This window comes from Homo sapiens, chromosome 17 (assembly GCF_000001405.40).
Source record: "Homo sapiens chromosome 17, GRCh38.p14 Primary Assembly".
NCBI classification, from domain to species: Eukaryota; Metazoa; Chordata; class Mammalia; order Primates; family Hominidae; genus Homo; species Homo sapiens.
Genome location: NC_000017.11, coordinates 50,072,779 through 50,088,989, shown reverse-complemented (window position 1 = coordinate 50,088,989; position 16,211 = coordinate 50,072,779). Strand labels below are relative to the sequence as shown.

General features: G+C 50.6%; 1 protein-coding gene across 3 annotated transcripts in view; it reads right to left on the bottom strand.

Moving 5' to 3' along the window:
- ITGA3 (integrin subunit alpha 3) overlaps nt 1-16,211 on the bottom strand; it is a 34,372-nt gene that overhangs the window by 1,492 nt on the left and 16,669 nt on the right. For 2 of the 3 annotated variants that reach the window (NM_002204.4, XM_005257308.3), the window contains 18 exons: nt 14,986-15,074; nt 14,710-14,846; nt 14,456-14,542; nt 13,464-13,531; nt 13,255-13,391; nt 12,515-12,664; nt 12,309-12,406; nt 11,869-12,016; nt 11,543-11,611; nt 10,865-10,944; nt 10,706-10,783; nt 10,064-10,166; nt 9,732-9,914; nt 9,433-9,555; nt 8,615-8,728; nt 7,582-7,680; nt 1,121-1,246; nt 624-765 (listed from right to left, as the gene is read on the bottom strand). In NM_002204.4, the coding sequence (NP_002195.1) occupies nt 655-765; nt 1,121-1,246; nt 7,582-7,680; nt 8,615-8,728; nt 9,433-9,555; nt 9,732-9,914; nt 10,064-10,166; nt 10,706-10,783; nt 10,865-10,944; nt 11,543-11,611; nt 11,869-12,016; nt 12,309-12,406; nt 12,515-12,664; nt 13,255-13,391; nt 13,464-13,531; nt 14,456-14,542; nt 14,710-14,846; nt 14,986-15,074 (2,000 nt within the window). In that variant the 3' untranslated portion in view covers nt 624-654. Of the gene's footprint in view, nt 1-623; nt 766-1,120; nt 1,247-7,581; nt 7,681-8,614; nt 8,729-9,432; nt 9,556-9,731; nt 9,915-10,063; nt 10,167-10,705; nt 10,784-10,864; nt 10,986-11,542; nt 11,612-11,868; nt 12,017-12,308; nt 12,407-12,514; nt 12,665-13,254; nt 13,392-13,463; nt 13,532-14,455; nt 14,543-14,709; nt 14,847-14,985; nt 15,075-16,211 lie in introns of those variants that run through there. The other variant, XM_047435922.1, reaches the window with a different exon arrangement.

Below are 16,211 nucleotides of genomic sequence, written 5' to 3'. Positions count from 1 at the left end.
CGCATCCCATCTCTCTGCACTGAGATACGGAGGATGAGTTTCTCCACCCCAGGCCCCAGAGGAAGAAGGAGTTGAGGAAGGCAGAGAGCAGAGGAAGAGGCAGATGGAGACCGAGGGCAGCTGCAGAGACAGTGGATGGAATGGCCAGGAAGACTGGGCAGTCTACCCTGACCACAATGTTGGGAATGGGTCCATTTGTTATCCTGGAAGGGTTGCTCAGGAGGAAACAGGCTAGTTCCCAGGAGGAGGGTCTCTACTGCTCCCCTCCTTCCCTAGGGGTGGAAATGGGAGTGTAGAATTATTCTGGACATGGCTGTGGTTTACAGAGATGGGGCCTGGCCTTGCCCTTGACCTTGTTCCAATCCCCAGAAAGCAAGGTCATCACAGAGAGGATTTATGCCTCCCTCATGGGGTCCCAAGTCACCAAGGGGCTTAGGGGGAGGCTGATGAAAGCCAGACACCCAGGGGGCTGGAGGGACAGTCAGAGTGACCTGATCTTTGGGGTGGTGGTGGGGACAGAATGAGGTCAGAGCAGGCCCATAAGGGAAGAGGAGCAGATAGGACAGAGTCAGAGGCCCGGCCAGCTGTGGGGCTCGGGGAAGGGGGCCCGGAGGCCGTGTTACCCAGGTGGGCCGGGGGCGGGGGGCTGCCCCCTCAGTAGTCGTCGGTCAGCCTCTCTGTCTCTGACGGCTGGCTCTTCATCTCCGCCTTCTGCCTCTTAGCTTCATACAGGGCGCGAGTGCGGGCTCGCTTGAAGAAGCCGCACTGCGGAGGGGAGGAGGTGGGGACGGGCCATCAGGGGGGCGCTGGGCTATCCTCACCAGCAGCACTCGTGGACCAGGGCTTTAGGGCTGGGGAGCCTGGGGGCTGGGGCTCAGTCCCAGCTTGGTGGTGTGGTCAGAAGCCAGAGCTCCTGGGTCCCCCTTTCCAGCTTGCAGCTCCCCCCACTAACCCAGGCCAGGGGTGAGACTGTAAGCTGGTGGTAGAAGGTGGAGAGGACAGGGAGGAAGGGTGGGGGTGAGATGGAAGGGAGGACCAGGATGGGGAGACGTGGGTTGGAGGAAGGGCTGGTGAGTGTGCTGGTGGAGGTCCCGGAGCAGGAGTGGGCTGGGCTACTAACCTTCCACAGCAGGAGGATGATCAGCCCCAGCAGCAGCAGCCCTGCACCCACGGCCACCAGCACCAGCCACAGCTCGATTTCGGCCGGCAGCTCCTCCACCAGCTCCGAGTCAATGTCCACAGAGAACTGGAGCGGGGAGAGGAGGACTCAGCCCTGTGTCAGCCTGCTTAGGCCCATCCTCACCCTTCCTATCCTAGCTGGGCCCAGGCACCTGCTGTTTGTCCTGCTGCCAGTAGGGGGCAGCCTGGGACTGGAAAAAGCCTGTGCCTGCCCCACTGACAGCAGGTCCAGTGGTCCTTCCTGCTTCTCCCAGGCACAGACTTGACTCCAGAGGAGCGGCCTCAGATCTGGGAGGTGGCCTGGAGTCTGGGTGTGTGACCCACACATCTGGGCCTGGGTACCAGCTCCTTCCCTGATGAGCTGTGTGACCTTGGACAAGTAATTGCACCCCTCTGAATCTCATGCTTTCTGCTTTCTGATGAGGGGGATCATAATGACTACCTCATAGAATAGCAGAACGACCAAAAGCAGGGGTTCTGGAGCCACATTACCTGGGTTCTAGCCCAGGTTTGCTATTCACGAGCTGTTTGGCCTTGGCAAGTTACTTAACCTCTCTGTTGTTCATCTGTAAAATGGGAATATTACCTCTCTCATAGGTTGCTGGGGAGAATTAAGTGTGTTTGATATAAGAAAACTGCTTAGAGCAACACCTGCTACACAGCAAACACTCCATAAATATTCACCAAAAAAACCCCACAAAGAATTCATAGCATATATTCCCATTCTTTTTATTTTATTTTATTTTATTTTATTTTTTGGAGACAGAGTCTTGCTCTGTTGCCCAGGCTGGAGTGCAATGGTGGAATCTTGGCTCACCACCAGCTCTGCCTCCCAGGTTCAAGCGATTCTCCTGCCTCAGCCTCCCGAGTAGCTGGGATTACAGGCACGCACCATCACGCCTGGCTAATTTTGTATTTTTAGTGGAGATGAGGTTTCACCATGTTGGTCAGGCTGGTCTCGAACTCCCGACCTCAGGTGATCCGCCCACCTCGGCCTCCCAAAGTGCTGGGATTACAGGCGTGAGCCACCATGCCCGGCTGATAGTCCCATTCTTTTTCTTCCCCTACAATGGAGATAAATACGGATGTGTGTGTATATGAGGTTTTTTTTTTTTTTTTTTTGAGATGGAGTTTTGCTCTGTTGCTGAGGGTGGAGTGCAGTGGCACAATCTCGGCTCACTGCAACCACTGCCTCCCAGGTTCAAGCAATTCTCCTGCTGCAGCCTCCCAAGTAGCTGGAATTTCAGGCGTGTACCACCGTGCCCAATTAATTTTTGTATTTTTAGTAGAGACAGGGTTTCACCATGTTGGCCAGGCTGGTCTCAAACTCCTGAACTCAGGTGATCCACCTGCCTTGGCCTCCCAAAGTGCTGGGATTACAGGTGTGAGCCACTGTGCCCAGCCGTGTTTGTTCTGACTATACATGATTTTCACTTCTTTTAAAATTATTTTGATGATTTTTTTAAAAATACAGATGATATAAAGAAAACTAAAGGTTCCCAGTTATATATATAATCTAATATATATATTATACATGTATAATATATATAATCTAATATATATATTATACATGTATAATATATATAATCTAATATATATATTATACATGTATAATATATAATCTAATATATATATTATACATGTATAATATATAATCTAATATATATATTATACATGTATAATATATAATCTAATATATATATTATACATATTCTATATATATTATAAATCTATAATATACATAATCTAATATATATTATAAATCTATAATATAACATAATCTAATATATATTATAAATCTATAATATGTATAATCTAATATATATTATAAATCTATAATATGTATAATCTAATATATATTATAAATCTATAATATGTATAATCTAATATATATTATAAATCTATATGTGTATAATCTAATATACATTATAAATCTATAATGTATAATCTAATATACATTATAAATCTATAATGTATAATCTAATATACATTATAAATCTATAATGTATAATCTAATATACATTATAAATCTATAATGTATAATCTAATATATATTATAAATCTATAATGTATAATCTAATATATATTATAAATCTATAATGTATAATCTAATATATATTATAAATCTATAATATATATATTTTTTTGAGACAGAGTTCCATTCTGTTGCCCAGGCTGGAGTGCAGGGGCACAATCTTGGCTCACTGCAACCTCTGCCTCCTGGGCTCAAGCAATTCTCCTGCCTCAGCCTCCTGAGTTTCTGAGATTACAGGTGCCCACCACCACAACCAGCTCATTTTTGTATTTTTACTAGAGACGGGTTTCACCATGTTGGCCAGGCTGGTCTTGAACTCCTGACCTCAAGTGGTCCACCTGCCTCGACGTCCCAAAGTGCTGGGATTACAGGCGTGAGCCACCATGCCCAGCTGGTTCCCAGTAATTTTAATATCTAGAAATTACGATCTCTGTAATCTCTGGTGAATCTCTTTCCATAGTTTTAAATATGGAATATTAATATGATCTACATAAATGGGATCATGTCACATACACCCTTCAGCAACCTCCCTTCCTCCCTCTCTTCCTTCCTCCCTTTTCTTTCTTTTTTTTTTTTAAGACAGTCTCACTCTGTCGCCCAGGCTGGAGTGCAGTGGTGCGATCTTGGCTCACTGCAACCTCTGTGTCCTGGGTCCAAGCAATTCTCCTACCTCAGCCTCCTGAGTAGCTGGGATTACAGGCGCCCGCCACCACCCCAGCATTTTTAGTAGAGCCGGGGTTTCACCATGTTGGCCAGGCTGGTCTCGAACTCCTGACCTCAGGTGATCTGCCCGCCTCGGCCTCCCAAAGTGCTGGGATTACAGGCGTGAGCCACCACGCCCGGTCTCTTTCTTTTCTTTTTAAGACAGGGTCTCACTGTGTTGCTCAGGCTGGAGTGCAATAACACAAACATGAATCACTGGAGACTCCACCTCCTGGGCTCAAGTGATTCTCCTGCCTCAGCCTCCAGTGTAGCTGGGACCATGTGCCACCACATCCAGATAATTTCTTGATTTTTTTTGTAGAGATGGGTCTCACTTTGTTACCCAGGATAGCCTCAAACTCCTAGGCTCAAGCGATCCTCCTACCTTGGCCTCCCAAAGTGTTAGGATTATAGGCATAAGCCACCATGCCCAGCCAGCAACCTGTTTTTTTTTCACTTAATATCATCATCTTTTCACGTCAATTGGTAAAGATCAGCCTAATCTCTTCTGAGGACTGCACAGTCATTGAAGGAAATGTACCATAATTTATTGAACCAATCTCCTACTGAAAGACATTTAGATTGTTTCCAACTTTCTGCCATTATAAATAATTATCTAAAATATCCCCATATATTTATCTTTGTATACTTGTCCTATTAGCTCCTTACAATATATTCTCATGTACTGGATCTAAGGAAATGGGCACTTTAAATTTTAATAGATACTGAAAACTTCGTCTCCTAAAAGAATCTACCAATTTATCATCCAAATCAATAGCATTTCTCTCCACCTCATCAGCATTAGACAGCATTATTCTTTTTTTTTTTTTTTTTTTTTTTTTTGAGACAGAGTCTCACTCTGTCGTCCAGGCTGGAGTGCAGTGGAGTGATCTTGGCTCACTACATTTCTCTCTTAGGTTCAAGCGATTCTTCTGCCTCAGCCTCCTGAGTAGCTAGAATTACAGGCATGCACCACCACGCCCAGTTAATTTTTGTATTTTTAATACAGATGGGGTTTCACCATGTTGCCCAGGCTAGTCTCGAACTGAACTCAAATGATCCACCCGCCTTGGCCTCCTAAAGTGCTGGGATTACAGGTGTGAGCCACAGCGCCTGGCCAGCATTATTTTTTTTAATATTTCCCAATCTGATAGGCAAGAAAAATCTTGTTGCTATGATTTATATTTCTTTATGAGCAAGATGAACATTTGTATTTCACCCTATGTACGCTGCCAATTGATATCCTTTATATATTAAAAAATACATATCAATATTTTGTCATATATGCTGTAAACATTTTTAAAAAGCAGTATATCATTTGCCCATTTAGTTTCTTTTTTTTTTTTTTTTGAGGCAAGATGTCACTCTGTCACCCAGGCTGGAATACAGTGGCATGATCACGACTCACTGCAGCCTCAACCTCCTGAGCTCAAGCGATTCTCCTGCCTCAGCCTCCCAAGTAGCTGGGACTACAGGTGTGCACCACCACACCCAGCTAATTTTTGTTTTTATTTGTAGAGATAAGGTCTCACCATGTTGCCCAGGCTAATGTGGAACTCCTGGGCTCAAGCAACCTGCCTGCCTCAGTCTCCAAAGTGCTGGGATTACAAGTGTGAGCCACCGTGCCCAGCCTCTTTTAGTTTCTTTACTATCTCTTTTGCTGTATACAGATTTAAATTTTCATAGAGTCTAATTTATCAAAATTTTCCTGTGACTTCTGGGTTTATAACTCACTCTTCCCATAATTAAAGGTTACTATTAAAGTGTTCTGTATATTGTATCCTGGCATGTTAGGTTTTAATTGCTACATGTAGATAGTTAATCTAACTGTATTTTTGTTTATGTTGTGAAGTAGAGGTTTGTCTTTATTTTCCAAATGTGTTCTCCCAACACTACTTAATAATCTACCTTTCTCCACAGATTAAAAATGCCATCTGTACCATAAAGTTCTATTTTGTTCCACTGATCTTTCTGGCCCTTCTTCTACCTCTTCTATACTACATTAATTGATCTTAGGAAATGTACAATAATGTACATAACCAACCCTGCATTCATCTCCCTATAAGTATCTCCCACGTATCTTCACTTATATCCTTTTCACAACAAATTATTAGCAATTTTATATTTATTCTTCTAGATGCAACTCAGATTCAAGATTGGGAACTTCTTTTTCAAGTTTCCTGAATCCTACTGAGACTGGAATAATTTGGGTGGAAGATCTGACAACTTGATAATACAATATTGACTTTTTTCTAATCATTTCTCAAGTTTTTGCTGCATATTTGTTATATTTATTCCCAGATGCTCTATCACTTTTCTGATGAATTTGAATGGGATCTTTTCAACTATCCTTTTGATTGGTTATTGCTAGCATGTAGGAAACCTAGGGGGTTTGGGTATTTTGATCTTGTTTTGACCTCTTGGACTTCCTGAATTATCTTATTGGGTCTAATAACTTTTTGGGCCAGGTGTGGTAGCTAATACCTGTAATCCCAGTGTTTTGGGAGGCTGAGGTGGGAGGACTACTTGAGACCAGGAGTTCAAGACCAGGCTGGGCAGCACAGTGAGACCTCATGTCTACTAAAAATAAAAAATTAGGCCAGGCACAGTGGCTCATGCCTGTAATCCCAGCACTTTGGGAGGCCGAGGCAGGTGGATCACAAGGTCAGGAAATTGAGACCATCCTGGCTAACAAGGTGAAACCCTGTCTGTACTAAAAATACAAAAATTAGCCGGGCGTGGTGGTGGGCGCCTGTAGTCCCAGCTACTTGGGAGGCCAAGGCAGGAGAATGGCATGAACCAGGGAGGCAGAGCTTGCAGTGATCACGCCACTGCATTCCAGCCTGGCCACAGAGTGAGGCTCCATCTCAAAAAATAAATAAATAAATAAATACATAAATACATGAATAAAGAAATAAATTAGCTGGGCATCGTGGTACATGGCTGTAGTCTCAGCTACTCAGGAGGCTGAGGTGGGAGGATTTCTTGAGCCCAGGAGTTCAGGACTACACTGCATTCCAGCTGGGGCAACAGAGTGACACCATCTCTGAAGCAAAATAAAATAAAATAATAGCTTTTCCATTGCTTCTCTTTTCTGCCACGTAGATGATGACATCATCTGTCAATACTCACCAGGTTCTCATGGCTGAACCTCCCTCCATTCTGCCTTGATATCCTGCCTTTCTCTCTATACATACATATTGCCCGTGGCGGGAAGCTCACAGGTCCATAGTGGATGTGACAATGGGTGAGATAATCAGGAGACCCACGTTCCAGCCCCTGACAAGCTGTGCCACTTTGGGGAGGCCACTCAAGTCTCTCTAGGCCTCAGCCTCTCAGCCATAAAATAGAGAGGCAGTCCCAGCCCTACTCTTCATGGAGGCGTTGTGCAGATCAAGGAAGCTAATGCAGTGGTTCTCAGCCCTGGCTGCACATTAGCATCACTTGGGGGACCTTTAAACACAGCAATCCCGGAATCCACTCCCAGGGACCCGGGGTTAATTGCTCTGGGTGCAGTCCAGACACCAGAACTCCTCCAGATACTCTTACCGTGTGGCCAAGATTGAGAACCATATGGCTGAAGTGCGTCAGTGTCCTCTTAAAAGATGCCCTGTACTCTCAAGCTCTGGCTGGAGACTGCTGTCCTAGTGAACATGCGCACTCACCCACGTGGTCTTGTTCTCCATGTTGATGGTGGGGATGCTGGTTCGGAGGAATAGGGTAGCCCAGCCATTTACCCGGACTCGGTCAAAGTCTCTGTAATCCTGGATTGGGAGTGGGGTGGGTCAAGGGGAACACTTGACACTTCTCTGAGCCTACCTCCGACCCTAAGCTTTCCCACCCCATCACCCTCCCACCAAGTAGCATCCTTAAACAGCACCCCAAAGGATCTGTCAGCCAGGCCTCCCCTCCACACACAAATGCGCATCATTCATTTATTTGTTCATTCATTTCTGCGTCAGGTCCTGTGCTGGATGCTGGGGACAACCGAAACAATGAAGGTCACAGTCTAGGTCAGGCCTGTGGGCTAAATCTGGACTGGCACCTGCTGTTGTAAATGAAGTATTTTTGGCGCACGGCCACACCCATTCATTTGTCTATGGCTGTTTGTGTGGTGCAATGGCAGTACTGAGTAGTTGCAACAGAAACTCTATGGCCCGCCAAGTTGAAAAGATTTCTAATCTAGTCATGTACAGAAAAAGTTTGGTCTAGATGGCATGAGAAAGTGGGCACGTGAGGCATTGCAACCCAGAGTCGAGCGTGATAAATGGCATGTGTGGCTTCTGAGAAAGTTAGGTGGGTGGCCATTGGAAGAGAGGTCATTTTCAGCTGGAAAAGCCAGAAAAGAGCTCACTGATGGTGAAGCATCTGACAGGGACCTTGAAAACAAAATAGGGGTTTACACGCAGAGATAAAAGAGGGGAAATGAGCATTCCAGGGTTAAGGAACACCCTGGGGAAAGGCATGGAGGTGGGACAGTAATGGACACATAACAGAATAATGGACACGAGAAAGGTCATTTTGGCTGGGGACAAACACATACACATCCATGCAAAGACACGCAAATCACACACACACACACACACACACACACACACACACACACACACCCATGCTATGACCCTGGACTCGCCCTCTCCCTGTTGTTCTCCCCCTCAGGGTGGATGGTAGGAGAGACCTTCAGACCCAGGCACTGACCTCGATGAAGGTGCTGTTCCACACTCGTGCCTTCACAGTCACGTTGGTGACAACGGGGGCATCAGGGATGGGGCACTCTAGCCACACACAGTGGGCACGCCCTGTGGCACAGGTCTGAGGCGGGCAGGGAACGCAAGACGTGACATAGTCTGAGTCTCCAGATTCTTCATGCCTTGCTCCTTACCTCCCGCCCCTTCCAGGCTTTGTCTCACCCCTGGGTGACCCAAAGGGGTCTGACTTCCTTTCACTCATGCACACGTCCCCCAACCTCACAGCTATGCATTTCAGACACACTCTTTGGGCCAAGCTCATATAATGCCAGGCACATGGATAACATGGAATCTGGCCCCTGCTTGTGTAAACAGGGCCCAACCGCCTACACCTGCTTCCCAGCCAGCTCCCTGCCCCTGGGACACCACCTCCCACTCTCCACCCAGCTAGGCTTCAACCGGCTTGCCAGGCCCGCTCTCCTCTCCTTTCCTGCAGAGGGCACACGCACCACCCACCATTGCCCTGCCCGACACCGCCTCCTGCCGGCCAAAGCTCTGAGCAGCTCTATCGCCCCCAACAGGCTGGGGTTCCTTGGAGCAGAGCCAGTGCCTCCTCCTTTGGTCCCTTGTCTTCAATCCTCCCCCATCAGAGTGGAGAACCCTCTGAGGGCAGGAGATGAGGCTCCCTGCTCTGTCTGGAGGCTCCCAAGAGCAGGGGCCTCATCACCTCATCACACTGAGGTCTCCCTTGCTTTGTGTGCCCCTGGTGCCCAGGCACCCTGTGATGGGGTGGATGCAATCCCCTCCAACCTCGCCCTGGCCACTCACCAGCACAGTCTCAGACTTGGCTTTTTTGGCAGCAGCCAGAGTGACAGGTGGGGGGCCCTGGCCTCCCCCTGGATCCAGCTGTCGCCGCCTGCGCTGTGGGGATGATGGCCTGTCCCCAGGGTCCTGGAGAGGAAATAGGAGATTTGCTGGCAGGGCAGAGGAAGAATTGGGAGCAGGGTTGCAGGAAAGGAAAGGGTAGGAGAGACAGCTTGCCAAAGGGGTATGAGGGGAGGGAGGGGAAGACACTGGCCTTTCTGCCCTGTAGCATGCAAATGAAATATCCCTGATAGTGTCCTTACAGAAAGAGTGAGGTTGAGAGGGTTGATAAGGTCTCCAGGTGGTCGGCAGGGCCAGGACCCATTGCCATGGACGGTGATCTCCGTGGGATACAGCAGCCACTTGCCATTGCTGACTTCGTAGGGCCACTCCAGACCTAGGACCAGGGTCCCCAGGCCCACCAGCCCCTCCCCCATTGGGCCCACCTGTGGGCACAAGATGTGTCATAGTCATTATCTCCTGGAAAACCACCTCCATCTTACCAACCCCCAACCCTCCCACCTTCAGACCCCAGAGAAAATAAAAATAATCCTTCCTAGAAGTCCCCAGCCCAGGACTCTGGCGAGCCCCTTACCTGGAATTCATACTTGAGGGGGCTTCCTACATCCTCCACAGTTTTCATGCCAGACTCACCCATCACTGTCCCCCCAAAGAAGCTTTGTAGCCGGTGATTTACCCTAGGGGTAAGAAGGATGCTGGAGTCACGGGGGACAAGAGACCAGGGCCCTGGCAGAGGGGGGTGGGCACCAAAGCTGGCTAACTATAGCCCCTCTGACATCAGTCACCTCAATAGAAACCTCAGCTCTGCATTTACAAGCTTTATGGACTCAAGCAAGCTATTTATCCTCTCTGAGCCTCAGTCTCCTCATCTGTAAAATGGACTTAATCATAGCTGTTGTATCACAGGGCTGCTGTGAGAAGTCATTGAGATGATGTATATAAAATCCTTAGCACAATGAGCTCTTATAAAATGGTAGGGACAACACCTTAGCCCCGGGGTTGCTGATTCCTCCATTTCTGCCTGCTTTACAGGGGGAATAGTAACGGTAACGATAGTGATTGTTGTTGTTAAGAAAAGGATGATCCAGGGAAAGTGGAGGCCTGAGGACACTGGGCCAAGAGAGGGGTCAGAGGAGTTTGGGAGATAGCTTGGGGATAGGGAACCCTAGCTTAGGCACAGCAGGCTGGGGTGGGGGTGGTGGAGAGCGGTACCCACATGCTAAGCGAGGTCTGGAGTGTATAGTCCACCAGCAGAGTGAGGATCATGGGCCACAGGTTGTCCTGGTGACTCGACCTTGGGAGGAAATGCAGGGGTTAGGAAGGTGATCCAAGATACCTCAGCCCTGACCCAGACTGGCTTTTCGAGGTCACTCACGTGGAGAGCTGCAGCTGCACCTGAAGGTCCCTTGTGTGCAGGGTCACCCCGATGACCTCAAAGGCGATGAGCAGCTCCATCTGCCACAAGGGTCAGGGAGGCAGAGAGTGGCATATGGGGCCTGGCGGGGGTGATGTCATGGGGAAGGAGGGGATGCACACTATTCTAGTTGGCTTTCTGGCCTTCTCCTCCTCCTCCTATTCTGGGTGAGGGGTCTCTACCTCCCCACCCCACCTCTGCCTCCCTTTCCCCCTTTCTCTCCATCAGGTCACATCTCTGCTACTTTTGAGCTACATAACCTTGAGCAGGTAACTGAAACTTTCTAAGTGTGTGTTTCCTCTTCTGTAAAAGAGCATCTACCTCCTCAGAAGGCTGTGAGAATTATATCATATCAAAGAAGCACAGTGTTGGGCTCAGGGGCTGGCACACAGTTGGTGCTTGGTCAAACTGGTTTCCTCCCCTCCACCTGCTCTAGCTTTGTGCACAGCTCCCTAGCAGCCCCATTTGTCTTAGTTTCTGGGCCTCTTCTCACCCTCTACTGAGTCTCTCCTCCCGCACTGTGGCTCTCCACTTCGAGGGAGCCCAGAAAGCAGGCAGGCAGAGGCTGGAAGGACAAGGAGCTCATCAGAGGTGCAGCCAGGGACCCAGGAGGACTGGGAGGATGTGGCCGGTGCTCACCCTCTGGTTCCGTTTGAAGGGGTTCCCCAGCTCGCAAAAGATGGTCTCATTAGCTTGGCAGGCCCCGGGCTGAGGAAAGAAGGCGAATAAGGTCAGGGTCGGGTCAAAGTAGGGCTTGTCCTCCCTCCTCTGTGGTGCAAGGTCAGAAGCCCTAGAGCTTGAGAGCCGGATTCTCCAAGCAGCAGAGACGCTAAGGCCCCCAAGAAGGCCCAGACCAGAGGAGGTGGGCACGTGGCAGACGACAACACCTGCACAGGACATGGATATGGGGATGCAAAGACGCGGGGAGCCCTGCTTGGGCTCTGAGCCGGCCGGCGGGCACTCACGGGGCGCACTGAGGACAGCAGCAGGGCGGGAGGCACCACCAGGGTGAGCAGCGCCTCGTGGGCGTCCTCCCCGGAGCGCTCCGAGGTCCGGGTGTTCGTCACGTTGATGCTCAGGAGCAATTTCCGGACGTCTCTGCTGTACTGGAGCCTGAGAGCAGGAGCCCAGGACTCAGCCAAGAGCCCCGCCCCCAGGGCACTCCCGGATCAACTAGGCCCCGCCCCTGGGGTCTCCTAGGTGAGAAAAGCCCATCTTGGGACAGCCAGGCCCCGTCCTCTAGTCGCACCTGGAGGAGAAAGCCCCGTTTCTGACCATCCCACCTGTTCCCGCTAAAGCCCTGTCCCTGGGCTCGCCTTGCCATGAGGCCCCGCCCCCACCCTGCCAGTTAATGAGGCCCCGTCCCACCCTTGGCCGATTAACGCGGCCGGCGGCCCACAGCCACCTGCTCAGCTTCTGCTGCTGCTCTGACACGAAGGCTGCCCGCATCTGCAAGTTGCTCTCACACTTGTTGTCAGGCCCGCACTCCTTCTGGAACTGGACCTGGGGGGTGGCCGGAGGTGTGAAGGCCGCACCACCCCCCCCAGTGCCCTCTCGCCCCACCGCCCTTCTGGCCCCTGGTCTTCCAGTCCAGGCGCCAGCCCCACTCACCTCAGTGTGGTTCTCCAGAGCCTGTGCCTGGTTGAGGATCGGGTAGGCGTCCAGGGACCGCAGCCCCAGCCGGGGGCGATCGGGCATCCGCAAAGGTAAAGAGTAGTTCATGGAGATGATGATGGGGCGGAGTTTGTCACGGAGGTTGTCCTGGGGAGAGAGGGTGAGCTGAGCCCGGCCCTGCACTGCTCCCTGCCCCAGCTGAATCCTCACACCACCCTGAACCCCAGAGAAGAGCTGGACCCGCCCCCCACCCTGAAAACCTGACAGTTAGGCTGAACTCCCTCCAGTCCGGTCGCCAAATTGCGACTTCCTACTATCCTGACCCTCCAAGAGGAGAGACAGGGCTTCTCCTCCTCAAAAGTCCCTTCACCTCCCCATCCACAGGGTCTCCAGGTTGAGCTCTCCCCTTCCACCCTGATGTCCCAGAGAGGGACTGACCTTGCTCCCTACTCAGGGACCCCTTTTCCCAGAGGTGGGCTGAGCCAAGAGCTCCCACACTCCTCACTTTCCTTGGAGGTAATAAGCCCTTTGGCCCCATCCCCACCCCAAGGGTCTCCATCACTCCTCATGTGTGGGTGCTGTACACTGTACTCCTACACACCAATAGCCTTCCAAACCGATGTCCCCAACCTCTGTCTCTGGGGAGACCCCCGTCCCTCACCCTTGATCTAGGGGGACACTGGCCACCTCCTCCAGGGACCTGGGAGCCCTCATCCTGACCCTTGCTCCTCCCTCACCATCAGGAGCAGCTCCAGCTTCTGGCAGCGCATCTCGGGCATGGAGAAGAAGCCGTGGAAGACAGCGGACTCACTGCCGGCAAAGCGGAGCCGGGGCGGCCGGCGGTCCCTGTCAGCCTCCAGAGTGTAGGCCAGGGCTACAGGTAGACAGGGTGGTCAGCAAGGGGACAGGGGAGCGTACCCCTTTTACGCTGCACCCCAGCACTCACTGATGTTTCGCCTGTAGTTGGGGTTCCCGGCACTCTGGTTGTAAGCAAAGCACAGCTCCACTTGCACACTGTTGGAGGGATGTACAGGAGGGCGGGTCACAGTGGGACACACACGTCCAGGCCCTAGCTCTCGCCTCTGTACTGGGCAAAAGGAAACCGAGGCCCTTCTGGAGAGAGGCAGGGACAAAACTGGGGAGTCCACAAAGCAGGTCTGTGGTGTCCCTGACCCCTTCCCTTCCACTCCCCTTAAAGCCAAAGAGAACAGGGTTAGAGGTCACTAATGGGGAAACTGAGGCCTAGGGCCCAGAAGGACTTGTCTGAAGTCCTCAGTCAGTTGGTGGCCCAGCCCAGTCTTGAACCTAGGTCGGCCAATCCCCAGTCCAGGTCTCCTTGCACCAACCACCCCATTTCCCTGCTCTGTCTGCCTTTGTCTTCTGATCCAAAATCCTCATTCACTTAAAGACCTTGGGGTCATCGCCATCATTACTGTCACTTTCTTAGCAACTAACATTTTTTGAGCACTTAGGGTATACACAGTGCTGTGCTAAGGACTTTCTGTATATTTTCTCATTTAATTATCACAACAACCCTGTGAATCAGTTATTATCAATTCTGTTCTACAAGCAAGAAATCTGAGCCTAAGAGGGATTAATAATTCACCTGAGGAGACTCTCCTCCATATCCATCCACTTAAATGCGTCCCCCTTTCCAGAGCCCATCCCCACCCCTGCACTGGCATAGCTGGGATTTGAACCAGGCCGTCCAGAGCTCCCACCTTGAACCACTATACTCTACTGCCCCCGACTTCATCCATTACCTCTTACAAGGAATTTTGCTTTTTAATGAGGTTGGGTAGAGAGGGCAAATGCTGGCCCCAAGAATCAAATTTCTAAAGGTGGGATGTCAGGAGGCCAGGGGAGGGGTTTGGGAGCTGCAGCCCCTCCTAGCCTCCCTATAAATAAATGAGGAGTAGGTGGGCAGAACAATCTCACCAAGAGGTGGCCGTGCAAAGTGCAGGGTCCAGCACAGCTGGCCTGGGCACCAAGGTCTTGTGGACGATGTTGATGACGGGCCGGGCCCTGCAGAGACAACAGAGCCAGACAGATATCAGTGCCTCCTGCCTGCCCCAGGCCAGAGTTGGGGCCCAGGCTTCCAAGGAGCTAGCGCAAACATGGACACAGATGGGAATCTGTGCAGACAAAGATGAAGAAGAGAAAGACCCTTATTCACTGGCCTCCTGGCTCACCGCAGCAGCACAATGTGGTCTGACAGGCTTCCCACTAGAAGGTCTGGGTAGAAGTTCTCATCCACATCCATCTGCCCACTGAGGGAATAGCCGAAGGTGGCCAACCCAGGCAGTCCCAGCTTCTCTCCATGGATTACCTGGGGGCAGGGGAAAGTGGTGGGGGCAGGCTCTGGGGAGCAGGGCCCAGGGGGCTACAGGGAAGGGTTGGGTGAAGGAAAGCAAGGAAGGCCCATCTCGGCTGGTGGGGGCAGCAGACCCATCCCCGTCTCTCTGTACCTGCTGGGGCTGTCTAAGGAGCCCCTTAGAGCTACTGTGATAGATGTACACTTTGCCCAAGCCTTCAAACGGAGCTCCCACAGCAATATCTGCAGAAGAAAAGGCAAGACAGGGTCACCCAGGTACTCTGGGCCCCACGTCTCCCTAACTCTTTGCTCCAGGCCATACAGCCCAGCACAGAACTGATCTTGGCCTGATTGATGGGCAGGGCTCAGAGCATCAGGGACAGAGCAGAGCTCTGCAGCTCAGGATGAACACTGGGACCATCTGGAGCCCAGCTTCCTCCTATCACGGGTGGGAAAGTAGGTTCAGGAGATGACAAGTGACTCTACCAGACAGTTGTCAAGCATTCAGTGTGTGTGCGTGTGTGCGTGTGTGTGTGTGTGTGTGTGTGTGTGTGTGTGTGTGTGTTTATAGACAGTGTCTCGCTCTGTGACCCAGGCTGGAGTGCAGTGGCACAGTCATAGCTCACTGCAGCCTCAACCTCCTGGACTGAAGGGATCCTCCCACCTCAGCCTCCCAAGTAGCTGGGACAGGCACACACCAACACACCCAGCTATTCATTTAATTTTCACGAGAGTGCTGTGGGGTGGGTACTATTATCCCCCCACTTTATAGATGAGGAGACACTCCAAAAACCCAGAGTTGTACAACTAATGAGTGTAGAAAAGAGAAAATTTGAGCCCAGGGCTGTCTCACAGCAGGGGCTGGGATTTTAACCACAACACTACAGTGAACTTCACTGAAAGTGTCAAGGCTTTTTACATTCTAATCATTATCTCCACAAATAACCCCCAAGTATTTGGTTATCTTCTTAAACTGAACTCTTTCCAGTTTGCAGCTTTGGATCAGATAAGGCCTAGGGAATCAGCAAGCCAAGCTTGTTAGTAAGGCCTGTAAAGGGAGCAGAAGCAGGTCCCAGGCCGAAACCAAATGATTTCCACAGTGCACACTTGGCCTCTGGTGACTGAACTTTCTGGCACCTATTTTGGGTCTTCAGAGGCTCCTTTGCCTTCCTCTTGGTTCTCAGCTATGTCCTGGGAAACTGAGATTATCAGAGAAGTGACTTTCAGATAAGCCAGGTGCCCCCATGGCACTGACTCCAGCCCTGGGTCTGCCCCTGTCCCTGATACCCCAGGTCCGATTGGTCCCCAAGTCCTGCAGAACACTTATGAGGACCCCTATATCCAGGGCTCCCACCTTGTCCCATTCCTTATCATCTCCCA